General features: G+C 39.6%; 1 protein-coding gene across 16 annotated transcripts in view, besides 2 other annotated features; it reads left to right on the forward strand.

Annotated features, from left to right (window-relative positions):
- ADAMTSL1 (ADAMTS like 1) overlaps positions 1-22,490 on the forward strand; it is a 1,004,318-nt gene that overhangs the window by 843,394 nt on the left and 138,434 nt on the right. For all 16 annotated transcript variants that reach the window (XM_011518064.4, XM_017015312.3, XM_011518063.3 and 13 more), the window contains 2 exons: positions 3,272-3,482; positions 20,576-20,755. In XM_011518064.4, the coding sequence (XP_011516366.1) occupies positions 3,272-3,482; positions 20,576-20,755 (391 nt within the window). The remainder of the gene's footprint in view (positions 1-3,271; positions 3,483-20,575; positions 20,756-22,490) is intronic.
- Positions 19,262-19,481: an enhancer, noted in NCBI's record as "active region_28218". NCBI's record gives its function as "activates an Ori minimal core promoter by ATAC-STARR-seq in GM12878 lymphoblastoid cells {active_cell/tissue: GM12878}" and the evidence as "EXISTENCE:reporter gene assay evidence [ECO:0000049][PMID:35858748]".
- Positions 19,908-21,107: an enhancer, noted in NCBI's record as "BRD4-independent group 4 enhancer chr9:18769932-18771131 (GRCh37/hg19 assembly coordinates)". NCBI's record gives its function as "activates an origin of replication core promoter dependent on BRD2, P300/CBP, MED14 and CDK7 cofactors, and independent of BRD4, by STARR-seq in HCT116 cells {active_cell/tissue: HCT116}" and the evidence as "EXISTENCE:reporter gene assay evidence [ECO:0000049][PMID:35650434]".

Below are 22,490 nucleotides of genomic sequence, written 5' to 3' on the forward strand. Positions count from 1 at the left end.
TAGCTGTGTAGGCAGCTATTTTATAAGACATACAAAGAGGGTTCACCAGCACTGGCCATGGATGTTAGATTTTGTTTTACACCCACAACATTTTAGTATTTCCCTTGAGTGGAAAGAAAACCTTTTTTTAAGCATAATACCTGTAAGGAAAGTACACACAAATCCTATGTGTACACTTGGTGACTTTTCATAAAATGGACCCAGATCCAGCCCCTAGATCTAGCAAACACCCCAGAAGCCCACCCCACTCTACTCCTCTTCTAGTTTTTACCCACCGAGGGTAACCAATGTTCTGGCTCCTAACACAGTGGATTAGTTTTGGCTTTTGAGCTTATGATATAAATCACACAGTATCAATTTTTGTGTTTCTGGCTTTGTTCATTCAATTTTATGTTTGTGAGATTCATTTATGTTGTTGCTTATTGTTGCAGTTTATTCTCATTGCTTTATATAATCTTGTGTGAATATATCATAATTTTTTATTCATTCATGTGCTGATGAACATTTGGGTTTTTCCAGGTTTGGGCTATTATGAACAGTGCTGCCATGGATATTCTTGCATATGTCTTTTGATGAATATATGCAAATTGGGGAGAGGTATATACTTGTATTTGGTTGTCTATTGCTGCATAACAAATTTCCCTCCAAACCTAGTAGCTAACAGTGACAATAAACATTGATCACCTCTCACAGTTCATGTGAGTGAGGAATTTGGAGGCAGCTTGGACAGGCAGTTCTGGCTTGAGGTCTTTCCTGAGGTTGCAGTTATCTAAAGGCAAGCTTGGGGCTGGAGGGTCTGCATTCAAGGTAGCTCGCTCACATGGCTGGCAAGTTGATGCTGATTATTGGTGGGGAGGCTGCAGTTTCACACACGAACTTTCCTTAAGACTCTCTGGGTATTCTCATGACATCGTGGCTGGCTTCCCCACCACCGTGAGTGGGCAAAGAGAGAGCATCAAATTGGAAGCATTATCCTTTTTGTGACCTAGCCTTGGAAGTCACATAGCATCACTTCTGCCTCATTCTATTCATTAGAAGTGAGCCACTAAGTCTAGCCCATACTCAAGACTTCACCTTTGGAAGGAAGGCATGGCAAAGAATGTATGGATGTATCTTAAAACCAATAACACCACAATGTTTTAAAGCTTATAATTAACTCAATCTAAGGGTTTAAAAATAAGAGAAGTTTATAGAAATTTACACAAGGATCTAAAAGAAATAAATTCAAGCCAGCTTCTCTTCTTCTATTCATTTAAAACTTTGCAAATGTCCATAGAGTTTTCAAGGTATTTTTTGGAGACAGCATGGTACAATAGAAAGTGCAGAGGCTCTAGAGCCAGAAACAACCAAGTCTGAATCCTGGATTCACTACTTACTAATTAGGGGTACTTGGACAAGTCAGCCTCTTGGATTTCCAGGTTCCCTCAACTGTAAAATGAAGGTAATCAATAGAGCTTATCTCATATTGTTCTGGAGGCAATTAAATGAGATAATGTGTTAAGGTGCCCTCTATGATGGGAGGTCTCATCGATTTGCTCATTTAACCAATAACATTAACTATCTAAAAGGTGTTCTGATGGACCCTGCAAGTAATACAAAACTGACTCAGATGCGGGCCCTACATCAGGAGGTATACACTCTAGCAGTGCCCTTGACAGGTAGAATAACTGTAATACAACTGAGAAAATGGTCAGTGTCTGGAGCAAGTATGGATACAGTGTTTTAAATATGGATTATATTTGGATATATAGAAATGAAAGACATTTTGAAGGGCAAGGAAAGGGCAAAAGATATTCCAAATTAGAAATACAACTTGCACTTTGGGAGGCCGAGGCGGGCGGATCACGAGGTCGGGAGATCGAGGCCATCCCGGCTAAAACGGTGAAACCCCGTCTCTACTAAAAATACAAAAAAATTAGCCGGGCGTAGTGGCGGGCGCCTGTAGTCCCAGCTACTTGGGAGGCTGAGGCAGGAGAATGGCGTGAACCCGGGAGGCGGAGCTTGCAGTGAGCCGAGATCCCGCCACTGCACTCCAGCCTGGGCGACAGAGCGAGACTCCGTCTCAAAAAAAAAAAAAAAAAAAAAAAAAAAAAGAAATACAACTTGCATAAAGACACAACTAGAAAACCATGGGGCATAACTGGAGAATAACAAACAGATTATTACAGATATGGCTAAGCTTAGTGTAGATGAAAGGAGGTAGTGGAAACAGGTTGGAAAGTTAGTTACATGTCAGAGCAGTAGGAAAAGATTGAGTGCATACACTTAATATTACAGTCTGATGAAAAACATTAAGGCCAAAAAATTTTCAACCAACTTTCAGGACAAAAGCTAGGTGGGACTAGCTACTAGAGGATCTACTTACCATGTTTTCTTGGCCAATTCCTGTTTGTAAAATCTTTGTGCCTCAGACTGTAAACAGAACTTTCTAAAACTGATCTTTAGAAGATGCTTCTGACGTACAGCCTGAGCCACTGAGCTTTGTCCTTATCATTCCCAGTTTGTAGGCTGCATCAGCAGGGAAATGCAGTGGGATTGTTTTCATAGGCCCTTAGCTCACTATAAACGTACTTCTCAAGTCTTGGCCCTTTGGAAATGGCCAGTTCGTGCACTCAACTCATCTGCGTATTTGAGTGCTACATCCAGATAATGAGCCACTCTCTTCACTTTACTTCCCTTCAAAAAGACTGATCGATGGAGCAGCCTTCATTTCTGTTACATTATCCAGTCCCAGGCAGTGATGATGTTTAAACGTAAGACAGAGACGTTTCTATGCAGCAATGGAACTTTAAAGGAAGCTGGAGCCAATGACCTTTCACTTTGAAGCCAAAGAATTACAAGCATAAAATTTTCAGTCTTGCTAAGAATTGGGGCTGGAGAAATTAGCAGAAAGTCCTCTTTAAGCCCCACAATTCAGTATGTGGTGCCCAAAGCCTTTATGTACTCAATCTATGTCTCATTTAGCACTTCCCTCTTATTTTGATGAAGTTTATATGTGCCATCAGAATAAACATGGTTGTAACCATTATTGGTGATTTTGTGGGTAAAAATTGGATATTCCATTTTATCTCCCTCTTTGCTTTAATGTAAATGAATTCTAGAGCATTAAGGGAGAGGATAGATTCTAGGCTTAAGATAGAGCTGCCAGCCAATCTTGGGCTGGCACTTCCCACTTTCCCAGTTAGGGGTTTTAACTCCATTTGAGTTCATGGGAAACATTCTCTGCACAGGTACTAAGGGTGTGTCCTCTTCCTCTCTGATTTCTTCTCAGGTGGGAAATTGGCAAGTGGAGTCCATGTAGTCTCACATGTGGGGTCGGCCTACAGACCAGAGACGTCTTCTGCAGCCACCTGCTTTCCAGAGAGATGAATGAAACAGTCATCCTGGCTGATGAGCTGTGTCGCCAGCCCAAGCCCAGCACGGTGCAAGCTTGTAACCGCTTTAATTGCCCCCCAGCCTGGTACCCTGCACAGTGGCAGCCGGTGAGTTCTGAAGTTACTCAATATTGGAGCTTTTGTTTGCAACAGTGACTCAAAAAAGGGATGCTCTCTCAGAGTGGTTTTGTCCAGGGATGTTAAAGGGATGTTCAAGATCTGCTCATTTCTCCCTTCTTAGTACTCCCCTAACCTGATTTACATCCAGATCTTTTAATTACAAATATCATGCTTTTTCTACTGTATCACACCCCAGTGACCTCCAAAAGCAATGCAGATGACCCATCTGTTAACCTGAGCATATTTATGACAAAGCTGTCACAAAGCTAAGGAAAATTTTTTAAAATCAAGACAATGTGGTGGGTTTGCCATAAAGCTAAATTTGTTCTTAATTTACACCCTTTCTAGTTTTTTTGCTGTTTAAAATTCTAAGAAATAAGGGTAGTAGGCAATGATTTTTTTTAACATCATTACTTAGCAATATAAGAAGTTAGAAATGCTGAGCCAATTCCAAGTATTTTTATTTTCCTGGTCCTGTGAATTCCAAAAGTCTGGGAACCACTGTTTCAAAACAGGGGTTGACAAACTGCAGCCCTCAAGCTAAATCTAGCCTGTAGCCTTTCTTGCGTGTGTAAATAAAGTTTTATTGGAACACACCCATTATTTTACGTACCGTCTATGGCTGCTTTTGCACTACAAGGCAGAATTGCGTGGTTGTGATAGTGAACATATGGCTCATAAAATCTAAAATATGTGCTATCCCTTTACAAACAAAATTTCTGATCCTGCACCAGGCATATATAATAATAACACAACTATTTTATCATAATTTCCTATCTAAAAATAATATGCATTTATCAAACGTTAATATTTTTGCATGCCTTTTAAAAACACAGGATTTTAGGTTGATTGCATACAATCTTATTTTGCAGTTTGCTCCCTATTAGGACATAAGACACTGCTTTAAAGGGACAACAAAGGCCACAAAAGTAAGCATGAAAGGTGGAGGAGACATACATCTCTGTTTCACTGAGACAGTTTCTTCACTCTCAAAAGTGTCCCAATTTGGGTGATAAAGGATATAGTCATCAGTGGAAAAGGAGAGAGGACGACAGCTCACATACCATTGCCTTGTGCAGAAGGGTCTCCCATTTCCAGGCAGCCACGTGTCCTCTGTGCTTTCTCCTAATCATTTGGCAGAGCCCCTCCCTTCTCCTTGCTCCTTGCCCATCTTGGAGCTGTGGTTTAGTAAAACACTCAAAGAATCAAATACTGATGAATAAGCAAAACACTAAGTATGAAGCCTCTGGCAACAGACATTAAATATATATTTTCTTTTAGAGCTTAAATGTATATGGCTAAGTTCATTAATTCCATGATACTATGGATGGTTTGTGGAAGAGGATGTCATATATTTTGAACACCAATGTACCAGCGCTTAAGAAATGTATATTATCGCTCACCAAGCTGAAGTAAATCCTCACAACAATTCAGTTAAAATAAGGTTTTATTAGCCTTACTTTAGGTTTGAGGAAACTGAGGCAAACACAGCTAGCAAATTTAGGGTTGGCTATCAACTCCGTCTTATGTGACCCTTTCCACTATACCAAACCTATTGTGTATGGCTAAAAGGCCTTTCAGGGATTAAACATGAGCACTTTTGTTTTACAGATGATGTAACTGTGGCCTAGATGTAGGCTTCCTTAAGATCATAAAACCTGGACCAGAACCCAGGTCACCTGATTGCTAGTGCATTTATACTAAGTTACCTCTAATTGGAGTGAATCTATGACCTTAAACGGCACCACTAACCCATGCCAATCCTAATAAAAGGTGAGAAACCATCTCAAATCAACCTCCACTGTTGAAATTGTTAAGTCCCCATATTATTAGTAGCTTGTTGCTATTAGGTACATAAGTTATGGATAAAATGTTTACTGAATGATGAAATGAATGAATAGATGAAGAATGCTCCTTATAGGCCCTGAAAATGCTGACTTTACATCTTCCTGATATGTTTTTTATGGTTATAGGTCTTAATATCGTCCTAGTCTTGAAATGCAGTGAAACATCAATGTCTTTTTGATAGCCACACGTGCTGCTGAATAATGACATTGACTCATGATGCTTTTTCAGTTTTTAGGGCACAGCCATATATATGACCTTTTTTTGGTCAATTGCCATCACCACCACCTGTATGCCCAGCATCCCTATTTGAAACAGTGGACTTCCAAAGAATCACTTATTCTTAAATTTTCATCTACTTTGGGCCTGCGAAGATATGAATTTACTTTGAAAGCTTTTCTATTTCCTTCTTTTTGGGAGAAGCATTTGAGGATGAGTCAGGTTTAAGTTCATTCTTCAGGTTGGGAAACTTAATAGTAAACAACTGTTTGAAGTTCATCCAATGCATCAGTGACTACAGTTTAATAGGACCTTTAAAAAGTCTCTTCTTTCACACCTGAGACACAATAATTGTGAAAAATAGTCAAACATAACAAGAAATAAAGAACATAGAAGGTCAGCAGTGTTTCTACCCTCCAGAGACAGCCCTGTTAATGGTTTGGTGCATAGGGTCTGTTTGTCTAGCATGGTGAAACCCTGTCTCTACTGAAAATATATATATATATATATATATATATATATATATATATATATATATACAAAAATTAGCCTGGTGTGGTGGCGGGCACCTGTAATCCCAGCTACTGTGGAGGCTGAAGCAGGAGAATCACTCATACTCAGGAGGCAGAGGTTGCAGTGAGCCGAGATTGCACCACTACACTCCAGCCTGGGTGACAGAGCAAGACTCTGTCTCGACAAAAAAAAAAAAAAAAAAAAAAAATCTTTGATCACTTTTAGAAATCTCTAAACCTGGAGTAAACAATAAACTATTTGTCTTACATTATTTACTGGAATCCAACTTCTTTGGCTAAGTTTTGTTGGGAAAAATTAGCTATTGCTGACTGCTTGTGAGAAGAAACCATTGTTTATATTGTATGGTGCAATAAGTCCAGAGTAACTTCAGGGATCCCTAGGCTAGTTGGCTGTGGTTTTAGAACTCAGCTTAGTTACGACACCAGCTGTTGAAAATCCATTGCCTGGTTAGCCCTGATTCCTCAGCAATTCTTACTGGGAAAAGGGAACTTGGTGTACACTCACCTGGTCTTTTCCATTTAGCAAGGATCTGCCAGAGGATACTGCTGAGGTCTCCAATCCTTCAACACCCAACCTACAGCCTCTTTCTTACAGAAGAAAAGGAGATGGGGGATCACATGTTTCGTTTAAAGGAATACAGATAACAACCTGATAGACATTGCCCGTTTGAGGGGAGAAACTCTCTCTCCTCTCTGTGTGAACACAGTGTTACCACTGACCTCATGTGTATGTTTCTCTTTCTGGGGGGAAGAAAACATAAATTATGTAAATTGTCATCTGCCAGATAGGAATGCAACCTTCTTTGTTCTTTGTAGAGTATTTGTCTGACAAATGGCAAATAGCCAATATTTACACATTCTGCAGGTCCGGAGAGGACCTAGCATGGAGTTCAAGTATTGATGTTAAGATCTTGTTTTAGAAATTAAGCAGAAATGAAACAGAAATCTAATTCTAGCTTTGGTTGTTAGGGGACCATTTTTATTTCAGTTCTTCCTCTTAATACTCTGCCCTTTGCTTTTCCTCTCTGGTCTGTGGGAAGGATTCATTTCATATTTATCCTTACCAATTTATTAATAGCTTTAATATCTTGTTAGTTTATATTTAGACAGCTTTTGAACACTTATTTTATGTGCATGTAGTCCTCTGCATCTTCTGCAATTTATTAAATACACTCATCATCATCCTCCTCCTCCTCCTCCTCCTCCTCTTTGGTGTTGGTTATAAGTAACTTATTGCACACCTCATAAGGGATCATATCCCACGGGTGAGTTACAACACTGTGATTGAGAATCACTGTTACCTATACCACAATTTAGTCTGAAACACTTTGATCATGACAGTCTACTGCTAGGATTTTTCTCAGTGACTCTAAAGCCAGTACATGTCTTGTTCAGGCCTTCATCCCTCTGCGCATCTGTCCCTGCCCTGTCTCCAGGCATGGCTCTCCCATCCCTGCTTGTATACTCCCCTGCCCGCCTACCATTTCCCACTCCCCTGTGCTGGTCAAGGCCCAGCAGAGAGCCTCCCTCTTCTGCAGTGACTCTTCTATTATCCTTCTACACTGAAGCCACATGGTGTTCAGGGGCAGACAGCTAACTTAACAACCACGTTACCCACTCAGGTGCTTTCTCATGACTTCTGAATTAGACCACAAGGTCAATGAAGGCAGAGACCAAGTCTCAGACCCCATAACTCCCAGGACACATCTGCAGAGCGTTGACTTTGGTGTTAGAAAGGTACATGCCCATTCTGCTGGTGTCATTTATTGAATACTTGCTACATTTCAGGAGCTGCTGCTTTTGATAATGAGAGCATCACTTTCTCTGTGTTCAGCACAGCTCTAGACACTTTACATATTTAACTTACTTAATCCTCACTATCCTATGTGATAGTTACTAATATTATCCCCATTTTGCATGTGAGGAACCTGAAGTATTGTGAGCTTAATAGGAATTTGAACATTCTCTTTTAACACTCATTCGCTGCACTTGGCCTCTCTTGAGCCTCACAGCAACCTAGTGAGGAAACCAAGTCACAAGGCTGGTAAATGTGAAAGGGGCCCTGTGTGCTTCAAACTCATTTTCTTTTTCACTATGCAGTATGGCTTTCCCAAGACTTCTTTACTATCTGCTCTTAACTGTTAAACTGTGAAGACATCTGGTAACAGTCCTAAAATCAGCAGTTTACAGAACACTCGGTATTTGTTGCCTCTATCCAGGACAGTTCATCTGTACGTTGGCTTCCTATTGCTGCTGTAAAAAATTACCACAAACTTGGTGGCTTAAAACAACACAAACTTACTCTCTTATAGTTCTGGAGATCAGAAGTCCCAACTCAATCTCACCTAGCTAAATTCAGGGGAACCGCAGGCCTGCGTGCCCTCTGGAGATCAAGGGGAGGGTCTCTTTGTCTTTTCTGGCTTCTACAGGCCATATGCTTCCTTGGCTCATGGCCCCTTCCTCCATCTTCCTCCCACTGCTAATTCTGTCCCTTCATCCTCTCTCTCTGACTCAGACCCTCCTGCCTCCCTCTTCTAAGGACCACTGTGACTACCTCAAGCCTACCTGGATAATCCAGGATCATTTCCCCCTCTCAGAAGCCCTCATCACATCAGTAAAGACCCTTTTATGCACAGGGTAATGTGTTCACAAGTACCGGGGATTGAGATGAAGATATCTTCGGGGGCCATTGTTCAGCCCATCACCACCTGCTATATTGTGAGTGAAGCACTTAGTCCCCACTAGCACAAGCTCCTTGAGATTGGGAACCTGTCTTCCACTACCCTTTTGCCTCTCTATATCTAATATATCAATGTATATATCATATGCATCAATATTCCTTCATTTGTTTTTGTTCTAAAAATTAAATTGAAACAAGGAATTAAAGAAAAAAGGTGCTGAAGGGTTAAACTGAAAAGAATTGGTCCACTTTGAAACACAATTTATATTTCTCTATATTGCATATGTTTTATGTTCAAGATTGCGTCCACCCAACTGTACACACATGTTGCACACATCTGTGCAGAGACAGAAACAATTGCCACAATCTCTGGATCCCTGCCTTGCTTAAAACTGTGACAGTGTTGCCATTTCCCTCTAAACCTTTCTTAATCAGGGTCACAATTGAAAATGCCTGCAGTTCAACTATGTAAAAAAGCATAAGGGAGAGGAGTCCCTGCTAGTGATACAAAGAAAAAGAGAATTTTAATGATAACTATAAATGCCTGAGAATTAAAGTTTTCATTTTCTAGATTTAAACATACATACATACCTTCAAGCAAAGACAAAAATACCTTTGGTTTGGATTAGAGAACTGAATTCTGGCAGAGTCACATAGTAATCAGTTTTGTTATATTCCAGTGACTAAAATGTAAATCCACATAAGTTAGAGGCTATATTTATTTAAAATTTTCTGTCCCAGGGAGGAAAAAACTCTTAGGATGTTTATCTCATTTTCAATAGTGTATTTCATAAGGAAATGGACACTTGATCCTATCTTTTGAGGCAGCAATAAACATAGCAAAACAAATTGAAAGTCCAGCTTCACATGTGGTTGTTTTTGTTTGTATTTATTAGCAGGAAGTTCTTTGGCATAATTGCCCTGATTTTGATGGATGTGCAGCTGCTTGCTTCACACCATAACAAGAATGTAAAACCTTGAAGGTACAGTGTACACCCCTTGTACTTCCAGAGTCAAGAAAGCTTGAGACTAGATGAACAAGGGAATTCTAATCCCCAAAATGGCTGAAGTAAGACTTCTGTTCTCATTTTAATAATTATGTTTAGTAAGTGAGATTCCAGTTCTCATTTTTCTTTGTTTCTCTAGGCCCTAATTCAGTTTGGCTCAGCTATGACCTCGACTGTGTGCATAGCACCGTGTCTAACTGCCTTTGGGCTCCCTCAGTCTCACATGTTTCTAAGTTACCTCAAACTCCAAAGGTCTAACACCAAGCTTAATACATACCTGCCTGCCACCCCTTCCCCCATTAACCTGGTCTTTCATCATTGATCATTATCAAGTAGGTGACACCACCATCTGTCCTGCTTTCTACCTGGAAACTTGAGCCATTATGAGCCTCACGCATCCTTCACGCTTTGTCAACATCTATACCCTATTTTATTCCATCTTCTATATCTCCCCCACCACTCTCTTCCTTTCTAATCCCTCTCCTTACAATCAACTCATCAAACCCTTACAAACAGTCTTTTACTTGATCTCCTTGTCTCATCTTGCCTAACTCTCATCCAGTGTTTCCCAACTTGGTATTGATGATTCTTTACCACAGGTTCTCTCTTCAAGCCTTTAAAATATAAATATGCATATAAATATGCACTGAGAACCCCTGCATAGGGTTATGATATGCAGTGTTACATAGACTTATTTTACCAGGAAGCCCTTTCTCCATGGCACACCTATTAATACCTCACAAAGCAGTATTGTTTGGAACTTACTGGCCTATGCTGCCTGAGTCATTTTCTACAAATTGGATCATGTTACCCCCTACTTTGAAACCCCTATTGATACCTCATGGTTTTAAGATTATGTCCAAAGGCACTTCACCATGTGCTCCTAATCTAATGTCTCAGAATAATTTTCCACCTACTCTTCTTCATGGACCCAAATGGTGCACCGTCTAAGGACTGCTCTGAGTCATCAGAACATGCCATGTCCCTTTGCACCTTCAGTGCGTACACACAATCTTGCTATGCCAGCATCCTCATCTCCCTGGAAACTGCTCATGTGTCACTGCTGTCTAGAGCTTCCCTAATTTTCCCAGAGAGATTTAATTGCACTCTTTGTTGTATTCCCTTTTTGTAAAACTGATCACATTGTATAGTAAGTTTTTCTCCCTCACTGGACTGCAAATATCTGAGGCTTAGTAACCATTTTTTATAAATCCCCAGCATCCAATACAGTGCCTAGCACTCAGTGGGTACTCAATAAATGTTTGGTGAAAGAATGAATGAGTGAATGAAGAAACAAGTGAAGTGAGTTGGAAGTTGTAAGCAGAGTGCAGAGTCCATTATGTTAAATGAAAAGTTGGCCTTACAAACAAAACATAAACATCACTTTGTGTTGGGTTCAATAATGTTAGTAAAAATATCAAGGAAATCAACTCAGCTCTCAGTAAATTAAACTACCAAGAAGAAACCAGAAATTTCAATACAGGCAGAATTTATTAATGTGCTTATCATGGGAAAATCTTTAAAAGTACAGGACACTTGGGCCATTGTATTTTTTGTGTAGAGACGTAATTGTTTTCCTTATTGTGTATTTTTTACTTTTCTTATAAAACGAACCCATGACCTCATATCATGAAACGTGTATGGCAGCTGGTATAAGCAATATAGATACTATTTTTCTTATGTATTTTGCTTATTACATATATTTAAAAATAATGCCCCTTACTGGAGATTTATCTCTTCATACTAGAATATTATTTTAAATGATGACTCATAAAGGCAAACATTTTTTATTTAATTTCATTAATTTTCTCTTGCCATTGCTCCTTTGGAAACATTTTTTTCTTTGCATCCTGCCTCTTGCATAAGAACTGTTGGCCTCACCGGGTCATCTTAGCACATTCACAAAGTCATCACAGACTTTGGAGCCTTGACTCCTTTCAAATTTCATCTTCTACAATTTTTTAAAATTTCTAAAAATGCCTTTCATCAATGCAAACACACTGAAGAAAATTTGAGAACACAGACAAGATAAGCATTTAGGAGCAAAATCCCTGACATTTACTCAGCTAGATGGCTGCCTCCCATACCTGGAGCGTCAGACTCTCCAGCAGAGCCCACACCTTCACTGGGTGAAACCCACTGCTGCCTTACTGCAAAGCAGCTTCTGGCTAATGATAAAACAGCCTGATAAAAGGTAGATGATCAGCCCATCAGCTGGATGCCTGTTTTACATCTTTTTAACATCTGGATTTGGAGCTCTTTTGCTCATCCAATCATCAATTCAACAAACATTTATGAAGTGCATGCTCTTTGCCAGATACTCTACTAGGCTCTGGGGAATATAAAGATGAATGAATTCCCTTTCCTCAAAAGACTCATAATCCTGTGTGCATGCAGGGAGGGAGAGGAAAATAGCGGGCACATAAACAATGAGCCCTTATAGAAGAGATAAGATACCCTTCTAGGTCAGGGTGGGTTGGAGGTGATTTGTTTGCCAAAATGCAGAGGGGTTGGAGGAGGCTTTAATGAAGAAGTGGCCTTTAAAAAAAATACCTATTTTAAATTAATTCTTGTGGGTAATAGTATATGTATTTATGGGGTACATGAGATGTTTTGATACAGGCATGCAATGTGAAATAAGTACATCTTGAAGAATGGGGCATCCATCCCTTCAAACACTTATCCATTGAGTTACAAACAACCCAATTACACTCTTTTTAAGTTTTTTTTAATCTACAGTTATTATTGACTATAGTCACCCTATTGTGCTATCAAATAGTAGGTCTTATTCTATTACATATTTTCATACCTATTATCCATCCCACCCTCCCCCTCAGCCCCTCACTACCCTTCCTAGTCTTTGGTAACCATCCTTCTTCCGCTCTCTATGTCCATGAGTTCAATTGTTTTGATTTTTAGGTCCTGCAAATAAGTGAGAACATGTGATGTTTGTCTTTCTGTGGCTGGCTTATTTCAGTTAACATAATAACCTCCAGTTCCATCCATGTTGTTGCACATGACTGGATCTCATTCTTTTTATGTTTGAATAGTACTCCATTGTGTATGTGTACCACATTTTCTTTATCAGTTAATCTGTTGATAGACACTTAGGTTGCTTCCAGATCTTAGCTATTGTAAAGAATATATACACTGCAACAAACACAGTAGAGCAGATATCTCCCTGATACACTGATTTCCTTTCTTTTGGGTATATACCCAGCAGTATGATTGCTAGATCATACGGTAGCTCAATTTTTACTTTTTTAAGGAAACTCCAAGCTGTTCTCCATAGTGGTTGTACTAATTTACATTCCCACCCACAGTGTATAAGGGTTCCCTTTGGTCCACATCCTCTCCAGCATTTATTATTGCCTGTCTTTTTGATAAAAGCCATTTTAACTGGGGTGAGGTGATATCTCATTGTAGTTTTGATTTGCATTTCTTTGATGATCAGTGATGCTGAGCACCTTTTCATATACCTGTTTGCCATTGTGTCTTCTTTTGAGAGATGTCTAGTCAGATCTTTTGCCCATCTTTTGATTATTAGATTTTTTTCCTACAGAGTTGTTTGAGCTCCTTATATATTCTGGTTATTACTCCCTTGTCAGGGTAGTTTGCAAATATTTACTCCCATTCTGTGGGTTGTCGCTTCACTTTGTTGATTGTTTCCTGTGCTGTGCAGAAGCTTTTTAACTTGTGATTCCATTTGTTCATATTTGCCTGTGCTTGAGGGGTATTGCTCAAGAAATTTTTGTCCAGACCAATGTCCTGGAGATTCCCCCAATTTTTTTTTGTAGTAGCCTCTTTGTTTGAGGTCTTAGATTTAAGTCTTTAATTCATTTTATTTAATTTTTGTATATGGCAAGAGATAGGGGTCTATTTTCATTACTCTGCATAGAGATATCCAGTTTTCCAAGCACCATTCATTGAAGAAACTGTCTTTTCCCCAGTGTATGTTCTTGGCACCTTTGTTGAAAATGAGTTCACTGTAGCTCTGTAGTTTTGTTTCTGGGTTCTCTATTCTATTCCATTGGTCTATATGTCTGTTTTCATGCCAGTACTATGCTATAGCTGGTACTATTGCTCTGTATTATAATTTGAAGTCAGATAATGTGATTCCTCCAATTTTGTTTTGTTTTGTTTTGTTTTGCTTAGGATAGCTTTGGTTATTCTGGGTCTTTTGTGGTTCCATATGAATTTTAAGATTGTTTTTCTATTTCTGTGAAGAATGCTTTTGACATTTTGACAGGGATTGCACTGAATCTGTAGATTGCTTTGGGTAGTAAGGGTATTTTACCATATTGATCCTTCCAATCCATGAACATGGAATATTTTTCCATTTTTTGATGTTCTCTTCAATTTATTTCATCAGTGTCTTAAACTTTTCATTATAGGGATATTTCACTGCTTTGGTTAATTCCTAGTATTTAAATTTTGTGTGTAGATATTATAAGTGGAATTACTTTTTAAATTTCTTTTTCATGTTGTTCACTGTTGAACATAGAGAAATACTGATTTTGGTATGTTGATTTTGTACCCTACAAATTTACTGAATTTAAATTTCTTTACCAGTTCTAATAGTTTTCTTGTGGAGTCTTTAGGTTTTTCCAAATATAAGATCATATCATCTGCAAACAAGGATAATTTGACTTCTTTCTTTCCAATTTGGATGCCATTTATATCCTTCTCTTGTCTTACTGCTCTAGCCAGGACAAGAAGTGGCTTTTGAGCTGGACCTTCAAGCACATCTTGGAAGTCTCTGGGTGAACAAAGAGCTGGCAGGCATTGCTCATGGACTGAATGACATGATCAAAGGCAGAGCAGAGAAGGTGTCTGTGTGCCCAGGAAAGGGCAAATTGTCCACTGTAGCTAAAGCATGGGCACATGACAGTATGTCAAGGAATGGGCTGGAAAGCTCCATGCAGATCAAAGTGAAGGGCATTGTCAGGAGTCTAGACTTTATCTTCTTACCATTGATAATATCCTAAAAGCTTTATGTATACATCAAAATTGTAAATGACAATTTTTTAAAACTTTTCTTGCAGCTGTTTTATCAACATGTTGTTACATACCTATATACTGTTGGAGGTCTGTGCCTTAAATCAAGTCCTATCTGCAAACTGATAACCCAGTTGTGTTATTTTCAATGAGTAATCACTCTATAGTACAATTTTATTACATCTATACCCTTGAAATAAGACAACTTATGTTCATTATCTACTTCCTCAATTTGAAAGAGAGAGAAAATTAACCTACATTTTTCTTTATTGCCAAATTCACTAAGAAACTCTAACTGAACAGCTTGAATCTGAGAACTGTTCTTATTTAACTACTTGTTTATTGTGGAGCATTTATCAAATTGAACAGAAGCTATGTGCTTCATAAAAATATTTAGAAAAAAGAAAACTTCAGCCACTACCCATTGAAGAGATCCATACTCCTACAAATTCAGCATCACTAGTGAAGTATCTAAAATGTCAATCACTGGGTAACAGAAACTTTGGGAGCATGTTCTTTATGTCTGAAGGACTCAATAGGACCCATGAGGAATCTGAGTGTGAATTATAATCAAAGGATTAAATGAAAAGTGGCTTGATGTCGTTTTGAGGTTTAGGAGATAATAATTTTATGAACCAGCTATTATTTCTCTCAGAGAAAAAAAATACACTGCATTTTCAACAGTGTAAATATTTATGAATCATTATCAAAACACCATATACTCCCAGAACTTATTGTAAAATGTCACTCCACTGTTCAGCTCATACCCTGACCACTTCCTTACTGGGAAACAAACAAATAATTAATTTTAAAAGAAGGAAAAGGAGAGAGCATGTGTAAGAAAGAAAACTAGAGGTGGATTCATTCAATCCTAATGTTTATTATTAAAGATGTAATGATATACTGGGGAAAAGTTTTAAGTGAAATTCTCAAACACTTAATATGAGCAACAACAGAAGCAAAATCTCTTCCTTCATAGAGCTAATGGTCTAAATGGGTGATAATTTCTGAAAATATGAGAGCTATTATAAAAAATAAAATGAGGTAATGGTGATAGAGACTGCTTTGACTACTCTAGGTAGGAAGGTTAGGGATGGCCTCTCCACACAGCTGAGAATGGAATTGAACCTGGATTATTCAAGAGACTCAGCCACATGAAGATCTAAGAGAAGAATGGTGCAGGTAGAGAGAACAGCAAATGCGAAGGCCCTGTGGGAGAAACAAGCTTGACATGTTTGAGGAACAAAACAACAAAAAAAAAGTCTGGCTGGAGTACACAGGGAAAGGGGGGGTGTCGTAAAATATAAGATTACAGAGGTGTACAACGCTTCTCTTGCTCTGCTATACATTCACCTAGCTAGAACCATGCTTGGTTCATGATTGGCATTTAATAAATTTATGTGGAATGAATTAATAAAGTTGGAAGGATTTAAGCTAGACAATGTCTAAGTTCCACCAGGGCAGGAACCAGAATCTGTAGCGGTTTGCAGGGCAGGGTTAGAGGAGTATAGATTATATTCTCATTGCAAGGGAACGTCATTGGAGGGTTTTAAGCATGGAAATTGTGTGATCACATTTATGCTTTGAAAACGTCACTCTTGCTATGGTGTGGAGAATAGAGTGTAGAGAAGACAATATGGGGTTTCCAACAGGAGGAAGGAACTCTTTTTCAAATGATCACATTTGAGTGTATCATCTATATCCTGCTAGAAACGCTATTTCTTAGTCCATTCCGGCTGCTAAAACAAAATACCGTAGACTGAGTAGCTTATCAATGACAGAAATTTATTTCTCACAGTTCTGGAGGGTAGAAAGTCCAAGGTCAGGGTGCTGGCAGATTCGGTGTCTAGTGAGAACCCTCTTTCTGGTTCATAGATGGTGCTCTGTAGCTGTGTCCTCCACATGATGGAAGGGGCAAGGCAGCTCTCTGGAACCTCTTTTAGAGGATACTTATCCCATTCTTGAGGGTTCCACCGTCATGACCTAATCATCTCCCAAAAGTCCTCACCCCTAATACTATCACCTTGGGAGTTAGGATTTCAGCGTGTGAATTTAGGGGAGTGGCAGGGAGGACACAGACATTCAGACCAAAGCACCAATAAAAGGCAAGAGATGATGGATTATGGTATGCTGATTTCTTATTTATTTTAGAAGTATAGCTTATATGTTTTGTAAGTAAACCTGACCTTATTTGGCCATGACTTGGATGTCAGGGGAAGGGTGGTAAAAAAAAGGAAAAACTCAGGGGCCAAAGTTTTTGTCCTGGATGTGGCACAATTAAATGAATGGGGAAGACTGAGAGAGAAGTAGGTTTGGGATGAGGTTGGAAGGGCAGTATTAAGAGTTCCATTTTAGGCATGTTTAATTCAAGATGCCTATTTGCATTTAAGTGGACATGTTGAGTAGGCATAGGGGAGAGGTCAGAGCTTAAAATTAAAATTTTTGATTTATCAGCACAAACTTGTTTCTTTCCAACAATTGTGGTTTCAGAAAAATTACAGTAAGTTCATGGAAGAATCTTAGTAATTCACAGAATGGAAAGTATTGTGGAGAATATAGTCCCCAAATTTGGCAAATCCTTAGGAGTCAGTAATCCACGTGGTTAGTTGGCTACTTATAAAAAGAAAGAATGAACAAGAAAAGTTTAGAACTGATCTGATTATAGTATAACTTGTTGGTTCGATGTAAGAATTTGACAGCAGTAAGAGAAGGTCGAACCTAAAAAATCATGCAAAACACTGTAAAACTAAATTTAAAACCTTAGTTATCCATAGCAACAGGATTATTCTAGATAAATGGAATTCTTAGCCACTAATTTAAATTTCTCCTAAGTACCAACTTCAATTCAATGCCACAGACATTTATTGAGAACATTCACAGGAGGCATTATTCTAGGCAGTGCGGGTACAAAATTAGTTAAAGAAGTGAAATCCTTTAATGTCTTATTGAATTGCTACCAAATGAGGGCTAAAATTAAAATTTGCTTCTTCAATACAGAAGAGCCCACAGAGTCACTGAAATGAGCCACAAAGAAGACAAAGGCTTAGGCCAGTTACTTGAATCATTAGCTCTGAGACCATAGATTTTGTTCTTAATCAAGCCCAAACGACACACTAGAAAAGCCCTTAGAAGGAGCTGGTAGGACTTGTAATGAGTAACAGGTGGTCTAGCTTCATGGCATTGTCTAAGAGCTATGTTTAAATGTTGCCTCTCAGAAATCAGAGTTTAGGGAGAACTCCTTAAATTTTCCAGGGTCACTAGAATATAGATGAACTACTTTAAATTCTACTCTCCAACCTGAATCATGGGCTGGCTCCTGCCAGTCAGGGATGGTCACAAGAGTGGAAGCTAAGAATTGAATGGCAAAGCCCAGTTGGGTGAAAGACTAAGACCAGGCTCTCGGCAGGCTTGGTGCTGATCAGGCTGGGAGCCCTCCTCATGAAGCAACGGTCACACTACCCTCCATTGGGTCTGCAAGCACGCAGGAGTTGCTACAACCACGGAGGAGAGAAGCTGAGTTTGGACTTTTTCTCCAGCTGCGTCCAGAGCATGGTGTCCAGTAGGAGCTTAGCAAATGTTGCAATGAATGGCAATAAACAAATTCTAGCCCCTGTGTGGCCTTCATTGGATTGTTTACCTCTCTGAGCCTCAGCTTTTTTTTTTTTTTTTTTTCTGTAAAGTGGAAATAAGACCTAGCTTGTAGGGTCATTTCACATTTTTTGTTAGCCTTCAATGCTTCAATGGGTAGGTAGTTGATCCCAGCACTAAGAAAATACATCCTTTTTCCTAGGGGACTCAATTATTTTTTTAAATTTGAAATGAAAAAAATAAAGGTTTCTCACCATTGATTTTAATAATTTAAAAGACTCTAAGACTAAAAGGCTTAACTAGACAAAGTTGATTGCTTTTCTAACATCATTATCCACTAGCTCTGTGACCTCAAGCCATTCACAACTGCAAACAAAAGGCATGTTTGCTCCGGTGGGGTCCAAACAACCACTGGTCGTAACAGAGACCTCTCTGGGTCCCGGATTTTCCTTTCCATGTTTATTACCATTGGGTATGGTGAGAGAACATTCATTTGTAGAAGTGGTTCTAAGCCCTGGAGACACAATAGAATTATCTGGGGAAAAATTACTTGGAAGAAGATTATACCGATATCTTTCTTAAAAACAAAACAAAAACTGGTACCTGGGAGCCACATCCCAGAATATCTGATTTGATGGGTCTGAAGTGAGGCCCAGGCATCGGTACTTTTTAAAAGCTCCCCAGGAGACCTTGAGGTGCATGCAAGGTTGAGACCACTGAGTAAGAAGGTGAAAGCTGGGCTGCAGCTATGTTCTGACTGTACCCAAGGACACTGGTATCACCATCATAACCTTGACTGCCGGCAAAAAACCCCATAGCCATTCTGAGTACAACTTACTAAACAAAGACCAACGTGAGTTCTGAGAGGGGCACTCCTCCAGCAAAGCAGGTACTTCAGCACAAACTCTCACGCTTTTTAAAACCAGGCTTGATCTCTCAGCAAGCCCAAAGGCAGCAAGCTAATGACAAGAAACTATTCTGGAAGAAATCAGCAGGCTCCCTAAAATTTTACAATAAAATATCCCCACCACAGAGTAGTCGTGGGTTGAACTCTTAGCTAGGGTTATGTCAGACTGAAAGTGATAGAAAACCCAAAATAACATTGGCTTTAAAAAGATAGAAAAGTCTTCCTCTCTCACATAAACACAGACAGTCCAGAGCAGATATGGTGGTTTCACAGTCAGGAAGCCAGGCTTCTAACTTTTTGTTTGTGACAGCCCAAGATGGAAGCTTACATTTCAGACATCACGTTCACATTCCAGCCAGCAGCGAGGAGAAAGAGAAGGGAAGAGATGCCACACCATCTTTTTGGGCACTTCCCTGAAAGCACACACAACCCTTCCGTTTATATCCCATCGGCCAGCATCAAGTCAAATGGCTGTGTCTGTCTTCAAGGGAGATTGACAAATATAGTCTTTATGCCGAAATGTGGTATGCCCAGTGAAAAGCTGGGGACTCCTTTGCTCTGAAAAGGAAGGGACATATATTTGAAAATAGCCAACAGTCTGTGCTTCAGGGGGCCTCCCTCCCACTTCATGCCCCTGGATCATAACTATTCAGTTACATGTAAACAATGTTTTATTGGGGTTCCTCTGAAAACCACTGACATGAGGCCATTTTTCTTGCATCCCAAATTTCAGTGGCTCTGGCTCCCACTGCCCTAAGAAATCATCAGTCCTGCAAGAAGAGTATTCCAGGGGGGTCCTTAAGAAAACCAGACCCTAAATCTAATGCCCATTCCGTGTGGTAGAGTGCCTTCACTTAGAGAAAGGGCTGTCTTTTCTGCAAATTAATTCCTCCAGATTTATACTGATGGCGGGAGCTCTCTCCTGTTCATTCTGGAAGCAGCACAGATTATTTTCCCTGGATCGTAAATATGCTGAACACTCTATTATACTAACCTTTTAAACCAGTTGTCTTGGATGGGACTGCAAATCATAGTTCAGGAGCAACTTTCTAAGATTTAAAGGCCCCAGAAATTCCTGGATGCTCTAGTTAAATACCTGGGATTAAGAGTGGAGAGGGTAGATCTTGCTACAAAATTCATCTCAAAGAGAAGAAACAAAATCCTTTGGGCCGATTCCTGGTTTTTCTTCTTCTTCTGGATTTTTTTTTCTTCCTTTACTCTGCCAAATTAAGATAAGAATTAGCAGTCAGACTGCCTTCCCATATTGGGTCTACTTTTTCTTCTTTCCTTCTTTCTTTCCCCAGTGTTCCAGAACGTGTGGCGGGGGTGTTCAGAAACGTGAGGTTCTTTGCAAGCAGCGCATGGCTGATGGCAGCTTCCTGGAGCTTCCTGAGACCTTCTGTTCAGCTTCAAAACCTGCCTGCCAGCAAGCATGCAAGAAAGATGACTGTCCCAGCGAGTGGCTTCTCTCAGACTGGACAGAGGTATGTATGTTCCTCCGAAGAGAATGAAAGAGATCCAAGTAGGAAAAGAAGGCACCCCAGACATATACATAGAAAAGGCAAGAAGAGAACAAAACAATCTTCCTAATATTATGGAATAGTATTTTTGTAACCATATATACCGTAGTGTGTAACTAGCTTTTAACGAGGCTGCAGGGACCTGAGTTACGCAGCCAGCCCTTACCCAACAATCGGAAGCTTGGAATTGTAAATGGGCTCCTCGTGGAACAAAACCAGACCTCATTGGTGCTGTTTTGGCCCCAGGATTCTTTTCCACACACTGGGTTCTTCTCCTTCTATCTCCACACCACCCCCTCCTCCTGACCTCCCTGTACCTCTTACTCCCAGATGTTTCTGTCTCTATTCAGGAAGGGCAAAGCCTCTCTAGCAAGTCTCTTCCAAGTTACTGGACAATAAAGGACATGATTTATTAGGAAAAGAAGGCCAAGGAAATCCTGCCTGTTTACTGTTAGTTTCCTGGCTCTAAAATACTTCAACTGCTTCCTATCAAGAGAATTTGATTTCCCTTGTTGTCCTGCACTTTGGGAAGTGATTGCTTCAGCATTCACCATTCCCGACTTTATCTGCTAAGTTAGAGACATACCTCTGACTAACCTATCTTTCTAAATAATGCCTCTCCTAATTCTAGCGTACGCCAATTCATTTACACCTAGCTTCAAGTCCTTTGTTTTCAGCCACTACCACTTCGAGTTGCCTTCGACTTCTCCACCTCCATAGACCTGTGTGTCTTCCATGGAGAAGTCCCCCAAAATTGTTGCCTCACAAGAAGATTTAGCCAAGAACAGAATCACTAGACCTGAAGTGAAAATGTCTGTAAAGCCAGATTCAAGACCTTCCTTTTTCTAGCATATAAGCATTTGAATTTGCCTTCCTAACCCCAGTGCCTTTTTTTTTTTTTTTTTTTTTTTTTTTTGGATAGTATACAACTCACAGGAGGGAGCTGCTGCTGCTTGAAATACCTCACAGAGATACTTGCTTACAGAGGGCAAAGCGGCCTGTGAAAATTAAGATCCAGCTCTCTCAACATAGGTTCTTAGAATTCTTGCCCATATCTTATCAACCCACATAGAATTCCATGAGATGGTGCCTGCTAAGTGCATTGCAATTAAGAGTTAACTTACATTACGACAGGTTTTATAACTTGGCAGTAAAACTGCTTCTTGTGGTATCTCATGCCAAATGTCTCAGAACGTTTGGGGAATTATTTTCTCATGCTTTCTAAATTTGATTTCAAGATATAAAGTGTGTAAAATGAGCATGTGTACATTTGTGTGTGTGTGCATGTGCATGTTAGTGACAATTTTTCCGTGGGAATGTTGATTTGGGGTATGGCATTTGAAGAACAGAGGTAGGTGTATTTGCCAAGTGGCTCTAGGTGAAAACATTCTCTCAGTGGAGTATTATAAAAGGAATTGCTCCCCTAAATCTATCAGGTAATAGTCTGTCATGAGTGGACTGCTGAGGAAGGGACTTGTGTGTGTTATAATTGTCTTCCTGTGTTCCTGGAGTTTGTGGCCTTTGAAGCATATGAGACAGAGAAGATTCAGAAAATGTTCTTTTGTGCCTGCAGATTTGAGGGGGACCTTTGAGATTTTGGGACTAAGAAAAAGGTCCCATTGGTCCCATTAAGTACAGTAGGCCTTCAGAACAGTATCATGTGTTGTTAAGAGTTCAGACTCAAAGACAGGCAAACCTA

This window comes from Homo sapiens, chromosome 9 (genome assembly GCF_000001405.40).
Source record: "Homo sapiens chromosome 9, GRCh38.p14 Primary Assembly".
Classification (NCBI taxonomy): Eukaryota; Metazoa; Chordata; class Mammalia; order Primates; family Hominidae; genus Homo; species Homo sapiens.